Source organism: Homo sapiens, chromosome 2 (assembly GCF_000001405.40).
Source record: "Homo sapiens chromosome 2, GRCh38.p14 Primary Assembly".
In the NCBI taxonomy this organism is placed as follows: domain Eukaryota; kingdom Metazoa; phylum Chordata; class Mammalia; order Primates; family Hominidae; genus Homo; species Homo sapiens.
The window spans coordinates 64,012,901-64,022,495 of record NC_000002.12 but is presented as its reverse complement, the minus strand read 5'-3'; the positions used below and the strand labels follow the sequence as shown (position 1 = coordinate 64,022,495).

The window sequence follows — 9,595 nt, the reverse complement described above, 5'->3', positions numbered from 1 at the left end:
TGCACTCTAGCCTGGGTGACAGAGCAAGACTCCATCTCAAAAAAAAAAAAAAGAAAGGCAGTGTTCAGTGATTGAGTAGCTATGTTAACCTTACTACTGCCACCTATACAAATATGCACAGAATACACAGTAAACATAAACATAGCCCTTTTATAGGTGTTATGGCATTAGAAAATTTGCCATTCTCCCTCTAATTAGAACATATAACCTTGATGGACTATCACTTTTCATGTGATTGGTCGGTAACAGATATAATAAATATGCCAAATACAGTGTTAGTGACATGGTAGCTAAATATTTTCTTCCTGATTCCTTTTTTTGAAGGCAATGATGGAATCTTAACTCCTATCCATTTCTTAATTTTGTATTAATTTCTTAATTTTCTATCATCTGTGCTTTCTGGAAATGTACACTAATAATATATCTATACCTATTTATTTGTGATTTGGCTTTTAGCTCTCATACTGACTGAAATGATTCAAGTGATAGCAAGTGAACATAGTAATTAATTTGAAATTTATCTAGGTTTAAATGAAATTGCTTGCCCAGTTTACACACTTTAAAAAAATTTTTGCAAACCTGATCATCAGCATTTACTTTCCTGTTTAGATTCAAGATTATGAATTGTTCTGTGGAAAAGTAAAAGTAAAAGTAAACATTGAGCTGGATCTCTGAAAGAACTAAGCACGACACTCAATGTGTATTTTCTTCCTATGGTATGTTATCAACAGATGGATAATGAGGAAGCAAACCAGACTGTCTTGTTCTAGTGTCTGGGAGACAACTGACGGCTATCATTTAGTCCAAGTGCCAAGTTGGAATCTTTTCTGGAACAAGGTGGGGTATAAACACAAATATTTTTTTAAAGGCCAAACCAGCCAGGCTTAAGGAAGTTTTTGAACTGTTGTTGACTTCCTGAGGGGGGTCAAAATATAAGAATTTGCTAAATCCAATTCCTAGCATAATCTATGAACTGATTCTAGACATAAAGAAAAATTATTTTCCTTTCTGGCCTTAGATAAAACTTGGTTAATCCTCTTGTTAATATTTTCACAGTATAAACACATCTTTTTTAATAAAAAATTTTTAAACTGACAAATAATAATTATATATATTTATAGGATCCAATGTGATGTTTTGATATATGTACACACTGTGGAATAACTAAACCAAGCTAATTAACATATCTTTCACCTCACCTACTTTTTTTTTTTTTTTTAAGAGATGGTGTCTGGCTATGTTGTCCAGGCTGGACTCAAACTGCTAGTTTCAAGGCATCCTTCCACTTCAGCTGAGACTACAAGTGTGGGCCACTGTACCCAGCTTATTTTTTTTATGGTGAGAACATTTAAAATGTACTCTTGGCTGGGCGTGGTGGCTCATGCCTGTAATCCCAGCACTTTGGGAGGCTGAGGCAGGTGGATCACGAGGTCAAGAGTTTGGAGACCAGCCTGGCAAATATGGTGAAACCCCGTCTCTACTAAAAATACAAAAATTAGCTGGGCGTGGTGGTGCGCGCCTGTAGTCCCAGCGGCTCGGGAGGCTGAGGCAGGAGAATTGCTTCAACCTGGGAGGCAGAGGTTGCAGTGAGCCAAGATCATGCCACTGCACTCTGGCCTGGGCAACAGAGCCAGACACAGTCTCAACAAAACAAAACAAAGAAAGTACTCTTTTAGCTATTCTGGAATATTAAATACATTGTTATTAACTGTGGTCATCGTGCTGTGCAATAGATCACTAAAATTTATTCCTCCTACCTGAAACTTTATACCCTTTGACTCACATTTCCCCTTTCCTCATCACCCTTTACCCCCCAGTCTTTGGTAACCACCATTCTACTCTGCTTCTATGTAAACTCATCTGGTTTTATAAGTGATCAGGGATTTAAGAGGACTTCACTCTTTTACAGTTAAATTTATTTCATATTGGGGAATGATTTTCTCACTTTGTTTCTTACATAATTTTAGAGGATTGAACTTAGAAAAATATAATGTAAGAGTTTTCTCTCAACTATTTTTGATGCTTCCTTACTTTTTGTCCTCTTTCCCCAACTTTAGCTCTTTGGTGGGGAAAATATTATTTCATAAAAGTTATGTTTGCAGTTTTCAAAGTGACTTCTTAGAAGTGAAACTTGGATCAACATTTTTTTCAACCCCCCAACTATAAGAGTTACATTTTCACTTTTGATTTGTTAAAACATACTATGTCTTATAAATGCTTGAAATTTATTTTTAGGCAAGAATTTCAACATTGAATAAAATCTTCCCAAAATTAAGTCACAAGCACTCAAAGGATTGAGGATCTTTTTCTTCCTAAAATATATGTGTGTGTGTGTGTGTGTGTGTGTCTTTATATTTATATACTAAGACCTTCCCTTTCTTGTGGACTGTGTTTTATTGGTTTAAAGTTGCAAGTCCTGTGAAACCAGGCTGAAGTCAGAATTAGAAGGTATTAATTATCATACACACTCCAAGTATCTCAGTCAAGTAACAGGAATAACTGATTACAGTGTCTGGGAGGAAGGCCTGGAACTTGGGGAAGACTTGGAGGGGAGGACTGGATGGGGAAAAGGCCTCAATAGAGAGAACTGGGTTGTTGCGGAGGGGTGACCTTTAACCTTTGGAAGGGCATTTACTAGGGAACAGCTGAAAAGCATTTACTTCGAGGGGGTGGGGGAGAGGAGGAATCTCGTGGAAGTATTTGCTTTAATAGGTCCCGGGTGATTTAGGGATGTTTCGAGTCGGTTGGTCTTGGGGGTGGCGAGGGCTACGCTGGAGGGGTCGCGTCCCAGTCCCGGGGAAGGCGGCAGGAGGTTTTCTGGGTGTTCCTGAAAACTGGGAGTTGGGGGGAAGGGTGGTGGGGAAAGTGGAATTCAGCGTGGATTTGTCTGCGTGTAGGACTATTAGAGGAGGCGCAGGGGAGCCACGCGGTGTATTCCCCGCCCCGAGAGAACTCTGGCTGCGCCTGCGACGGGCACGCCGGCCTGCGCCAAGGCCGCTTTCCCCAGGCGGCGGGCGCTCCCCCCGGCCCGGGCCGCGGCCCTCCCGCCCCGGCGGAGCCGCGCGGTGGATTGTGGGCTGGGGGCTGCGGCGGCCTCCGGCGCTGTCTCCCCGCACCCGACCGGGCCGAGCCGGCTGGGCCGGCGGGGTGAGGGAAAGCAGTGGAGTCGGGAGCAGAAGCGCTAGAGGCAGTGGTCGTGGCGCGGCGGCGGCGGCTCCCCTGGAGGCCGGGGATGTGGGAGAGGCGGTGGCAGCAGCGGCGGAGGCGGCGCTGCGGACCCGGGGGAAACTGCTGGCTGACAGGACACCCGGGAGAGACGTGAGGGAGCCGCCGCTGCCACCTCTCACCCCTGAGTGAAGCTGGGCTCGAGAGGGCGGCCCTGTGCTCCCCGGGCCGACTGGCCAGCGGGCGCGGGGCGGGGGCGGGAACCCGGGCTCGGGCCCGGCCGGGCGCCGGGCGGCGGCGGCCGTGGAGCAGCAGCCTCGGTGCGACGTGGAGGGCTGGAGGCGGCGGCGATGCACTAGGCCTCGCTCAGGGCGGCTGCCCCGGGACCCGCAGGTAGGTGTGCCCCGCGGCCCCCCGCGCGTCTCAGCCCACTCTCACCCCGACCTACAGCGGAGAGAGGGACCGAGACCCCACCCCCTCGGCTCTCCTCCCCAGCCCCAAACGGACCGAGTTTCGGTCACAGCTGACCGGCACTGAAGCTTCCATGCTCCTCTCCGCCACTTCCTTTTTTTTTTTTTTTTTTCCTTTTCACTCTCCCTCCGGGATCGGGGCTGGCAGCTGTGTTCCCTGCCTCCTGTCAGCGACCGCAAACGCCGCTCTTGCCCCTCTCTTATCTTTCCGGGATCCCAGCTCTGGAACTTCCATCACCCCCTTAGACGCTGCCCCCAAACTTTCCTTTTCTTTTTCCAGCCAGGCCCTTAGTCCTATTGGATTCTACTGGAATCGTTAAAACATTTGTTTGTTTTTCTCTCCGGGGAAGGCTAACCCAAAGAGTTACTCAGTATTTTGCATTTTGGCAATGTAGCTTGAAATAATTTGTGCAATAATTTTCTTCAGTTCTGCCTCCTTCCATCTCTGCATAGACAGAAAGGGCAGGCCCTCTCTGCCGTTTCTGCTCTCCCGTCGTTGACTTGGGAACTTTGGCTTGCCAATTATAATTAGCCGTTTGGTCTGTTCATGTGTTGAGTTCAAGATGGTATTTTTAGCATTTTGACTGACAGGCGTTTCAAAAAAAAATTTTTTTCTTCTAACCAGCTTTATTTTTTGGTCTTTATTGAGGCTCTTTCGAAGAATTAAATTGTTTGGACTGTTTTTGTTTTTAATTGGCTGTATTTCTGATTTGTCAAATCAAGGGCGGTCTTAATACTAAACGCCTTTAAGTAATACCGTGATAAATTACTTGTAGTATACCGAGAAATATTACTGCGATAACCTAAACTGCAGATTTTGATGTACATTCACTTTTATAAATCCGAAGGGGAGTTCTAATTGGAAAAAGCACCTTCAGAGCCTAAATGATTTCTAAGCAGTTAAATGATGGAACAGAGGGAATGATGGGATTTGTTTGACTGTATTTGTAGTGTAGTCAGAATCGGATTTCCTAGAAATGGATGTTGATGGTTCGTAGTGCTCATCATTGCTTATGATAGGTTACCAGTAGCTGTAATTGATAGTTGTTTGGGACGACAGTAGATGTTTGCGATTTTATTGTAATTTGGCTATTTTTAAATTATGTTCTGATAACTTAAGAATTATTACACTACCAATCTAAGAGGCAGTCTGAGGATCACTTTTTTAAATAAATGAAAAATGTTTTAATGGGTTTTTAAAATAAAGAATGCATCACAACCAAATCGTAAAGACTGTTTTGTTGTTGATATTCGTATATTTTGTTCTTGTAGAAGTATTGTTACTACAGCATTTGGCTTTCTGAAGTGTTTTTGAAATTAGAATTTAATACTAAAAGTTTACTAGGAAAAGGTGATTACTTTTGCATATGCTTATATTTTCTGGAAAGTTAAAATTGATTTCTGGATAAGATAATTTTTTGTGTCAGAATTAAAGTCAATTCCTATATAGCCCATGAAACGGCAAATTTTGCAGAATTTCTTCATCACACTCTTTTTTTTTGTTTCTTTTCTTTTTTTTTTTTTGAGACGGGGTCTTGCTCTGTTGCCCAGGCTGGAGTGCAGTGGCGCTATCTTGGCTCACCGCAACCTCCGCCTACCGGCTTCAAGTGATTCTTCTGCCTCAGTCTCCTGAGTAGCTGGGACTACAGGCGCCCCCACGCCTGGCTGATTTTTGTATTTTTAGTAGAGACGGGGGTTTCACCATATTAGCCAGGCTGGTCTTGAACTCCTGACCTTGTGATCCACCGGCCTCGGCCTCCCAGAGTGCTGGGATTAGAGGTGTGAGCCACCGCCCCGGCCCCGGCCCATCACACTCTTTTTTTTTTTTTTTTTTTTTTTAATCAACAAAAGTTAATTACAATTCCTCTTTCCTGCTCTTTGCTTTTTAAAAACTGCTTTATTGAGATAAAATTAACATACCATAAAATACACCCATTTAAGGTGTACCACTTGGCCGGGTTCAGTGGCTCACACCTGTAATCCCACCACTTTGGGAAGCCTAGTCAGGTAGATCACCTGAGGTCCAGAGTTCGAGACCAGCCTAGCCAACATGGTGAAACCCCGTCTGTACTAAAAATATATAAATTAGCCGGGCATGGGGGTGAGCGCCTGTCATCCCAGCTACTGGGGAGGCTGAGGCTGGCGAATCGCTTGAACCTGGGAGGTGGAGGTTGCAGTGAGCCAAGATAGCACCACTGCACTACAGGCTGGGTGACAGAACGAGACTCCATCTCAAAAAAAAAAAAAAAATATACAATTCAGTGGTTTTTAGATTAAATAATTGTGCAACCATCACCATAATCTAATTTTAGAACATTTTCATCATTCCCTCAAAAAACCTTTATCCATTAACAGTTACTCCCCATTCTCTTCACCCCACCCCCAGCTTTAGGCAACCACTAGTCTACTTTCTGTCTCAATATTGGCCTAATGTGGGCCTTTCATATAATGCTTCTTGGCTCATAGCTTCTTGAAAAGCTTTTCCTTTAAAATCAGTGTACATGTTAAAATTTTTTATTTGAGCTAGGGAATAAGCAACTGATCACCAATATTAAAAGTGATGTTGTAAATAACTGATACACTTTTTGGTTGTATTCAGCATAAAGTTGGAGAAGGCATGAATGGCTTCAGTAACCTCAAGAGGTAGTTTGGTCAGCTCGGAATCAATAAGTAAAAGTGGGCATTTTTGTCATTGAATATTAGAATATCAGGGAAAAGATCTTAAAGGTCATCAGCTTACTTCCTGCTTACCTCGCTATTAGTTGGCAGCAACCAGATGAGGAAACATGGAGATTAGAAGCTTGAATCTCTAGGATGTGTGGCTCAAGAACCACAGCGTGGCCATGTAAAGCAAGAAATGGGACTTTGGAAGTTAGAATTGTTTAGATTCTTGTATATATGTATGTATTTGACATTTTGCTAGCAGAGCTGAGAAAGAACTGGACATTCCCCCAACTTTGGGGGAAAAGTGGGTGACTATATGTAGCTACATTGATGAAACCCATGTTACAAAATCCTCTAAAAATGCTTTAACCTAAGGAAGGGTAGCAAATGTATTATTTAGATATCTTCTTATACTATTAATGTCTTATTTTTTTAAATCCAAATTTTAAAAAAATATAATTAACAGGGCCAGTTGGAGGTTTCCTTTTTCAAATATCCAGTGCCCTAACATCTAAAACAATGGCTCTGCGAGGACGGTTTTGACTCCAAGGGAAATTTGGCAGTGTCTAGAGACATTTTTGGTTGTCATAGCTGAAGGAAATGGTATTGGCCAAGGATGTTGCTAAATACCCTACAATGCACAGGACATACTTCTGCAAGAAATTATCCGGTTCAAAATGTCAATGGTACCATTGTAAACCTAGGGGCTGCACGATTTCTGGTAAGGACCTAGTGTTTTTGATTCCTACCAGGTGGGAGAATAGTCTCAGTGGGCGATGTTTGGTGAATTAGATTAACACCTTAGATCCTCTAGCAACTAACTCTATTTCTTTGCAAGAGGAGGAATTGAGGGAAAAATAAAAGGAAATCTGTTTACGACATGACGCAGATACTGTTTCGTATGTTTAGGTTGTCTTCAAATCTGAAAAAAGAACCCCTTTTTTTCTAAAAACAGACTTAATTTACTGCAAATTTGGACTACTATTGTTTTGAATTGTTATTTTTGCATATGTTTTTGAAATTGTAAATAGAATATAGTCATATCTTTTTTATCCAGAAGTGATTTTTTTTTTTCCTGGCAGCTTCAACTACCAAGAAAGGAGAAGTAAGCTAAGTGTTTAACTTTATGGATAACACTTATGTTATATATGTATGTATAACACTTATGTTATGTATGTATGTATGTATGTTGTGAATGTCCAGAAAAATTCCAAGCTTATAATGAATCTTTTTTTCCCCTATGAGCTCCACTTTAGACTATTTAATGTTTTTAACAAGCTTAATTTGTTGATGAAAGAAGGTAATTGACAGTTGAGATCACTTTTGCTATTTATCATCCATACCTTATGGATAAGTTACTCAAGTTATTCTTTCTGAGCCTCAGTTTTCTCATCTATAAAATAGGGGTAGTGATAATCCATGTATTACAAGGCTATTGTAAGAATTATTAAATGAGGTAATATGTATTAAGATGCAGTGTCAACTATAATATACTGTAGAAGAGTTATTCGCTTCAGAAGAATCAAATTAGGAAGGAATATAGAGGTTGTCAAAGGCAGGAATGTAGATAGTAAGGCGGAGAATAGTGATGGCTGACAGCCTCTCTAGGGAGGAGAGAAGCACTAAATACAAATATTGATAACAAACTAGTAAAATAACTAGTATATCACTATAATCTGAAACTCCTTAATATAGGGGCAAACTGACTTCCTTCTGTAGCACCTGAGAGTATCACCGTTATAGCACAGTAAAATAACTGATTATTATAATGGTGAAATTAACTTATTAAGAAAAGATTACCTTGTTTTCAAATATGCTATTTGAGAAGACTTGAAAATATATATATTTTACTTCAGAGTTAAAATTTTTGGAAGTGACTTATTCAAAAAGTTTTAGTGTTTTTAAGAGTATGCTGTCGTTATTTGGATTAATTCCCTTTTGGGGAATAATCCTTTTGTCTTCATTTACTATGCCTGCCTTCCTGTGTATTTGAAGGGTTTTTCTATTATCTGAAGGTAATTATTCTTCAGATGTGAGAATTTAACTGAAGAAATAGGGGTTGTAAGCCTGCTCACCATTTGTAAAATCTCATTTCCTTCTAGATTTCTTTTAAAATTATTTTTCATCTTTCTGGCGTGTCACTACGCCCAGCAAATTTTTGTATTTTAAGTGGAGACAGGGTTTCGCCATGTTGGTCAGACTGGTCTCGAACTCCTGACCTTGTGATCTACCTGCCTCGGCCTTCCAAAGTGTTGGGATTACAGGTGTGAGCCACCGCGCCTGGCTGGTTTCTTAAAATTTTGTTAACTGGTCACCTTTCTTTCAGAATCATATAAAAATAAGGGTAGAGGTGGTCAAAGGCCCAGCTATTCAGTAAGATTTTTATGGGGTAATTTGAGGGTGGAATAGTTGCAGACAATATTCAGAATAAGTAATGTGGTATTGATTGGTATTATATATGATATATATATATCTCTCTATATGATATATATATCTCTATATATGTGATATATATCAATATATAGATATATATATCAATATATATCTATATATTGATATATATTTATATATAAATGCTGATATATATCATATGATATATATTGATATATATTTATATATAAATGCTGATATATATATCATATATATATATCAGCATTTACTTAATAACATTATTTGATGTATACTCTATACTTAAATCTTCCCATTTGTCCCAAAAATCTTTATAGCTTTTTCCCCCCTCAAATGCAGGATTCATTCAAGGTTAATGCATTGCATTTGGCTGGTATGTCTCTTTAAGTCTCCCCCAATCTGGACTAGTCCTACCGCCTTCCTCTCTTCTTTAGGTTTATCCATTGAGAAGTAGAGACCATATGTCCTGGAGCATGTTCCACATTCTGAATTGGTCTGTTCCTCATGATTAGATTCTAGTCAGACATTTCTGGTGAGACCATCACACAGATGATGTGTATTTCTGCTGTATTACATCAGGAGGCACATGATTTCAGGCTATCACTATATCGGTAATGCAAGTTTGATCACTTGGTAAAGGTGAACTGACAGATCTCTCTACTGTTTAATAAATAATTTATAGAGGATACTTAATAGCCATGTAAATATCCTATTCCCTGACAACCCTTTAACCAGTGATTTTGGTACCCATTAATGATCCTTGCTTGAATCAGTCATTATGTTGGAGGATTACAAATGGTAACTTTTCTTTTTGCATTCCTTCTACTTTTATTACCTTCTTTGACTTTTTCAGGGCATTGAGGTCAGGTTAGATAAATTCTGAATAT

The 9,595-nt window shown here is 40.4% G+C and overlaps 1 protein-coding gene across 7 annotated transcripts in view, besides 2 other annotated features; it reads left to right on the top strand.

Annotated features, from left to right (window-relative positions):
* Positions 2,945-3,654: a silencer, noted in NCBI's record as "silent region_11544". NCBI's record gives its function as "represses an Ori minimal core promoter by ATAC-STARR-seq in GM12878 lymphoblastoid cells {active_cell/tissue: GM12878}" and the evidence as "EXISTENCE:reporter gene assay evidence [ECO:0000049][PMID:35858748]".
* Positions 3,068-9,595, top strand: part of VPS54 (VPS54 subunit of GARP complex) — a 127,279-nt gene continuing 120,751 nt past the window's right edge. For all 7 annotated transcript variants that reach the window (XR_007076389.1, XM_017004316.2, NM_001005739.2 and 4 more), the window contains exon 1: positions 3,068-3,558. The gene's annotated coding sequence lies outside the window, so the exon portion shown is untranslated. The remainder of the gene's footprint in view (positions 3,559-9,595) is intronic.
* Positions 3,815-3,884: an enhancer, noted in NCBI's record as "active region_15880". NCBI's record gives its function as "activates an Ori minimal core promoter by ATAC-STARR-seq in GM12878 lymphoblastoid cells {active_cell/tissue: GM12878}" and the evidence as "EXISTENCE:reporter gene assay evidence [ECO:0000049][PMID:35858748]".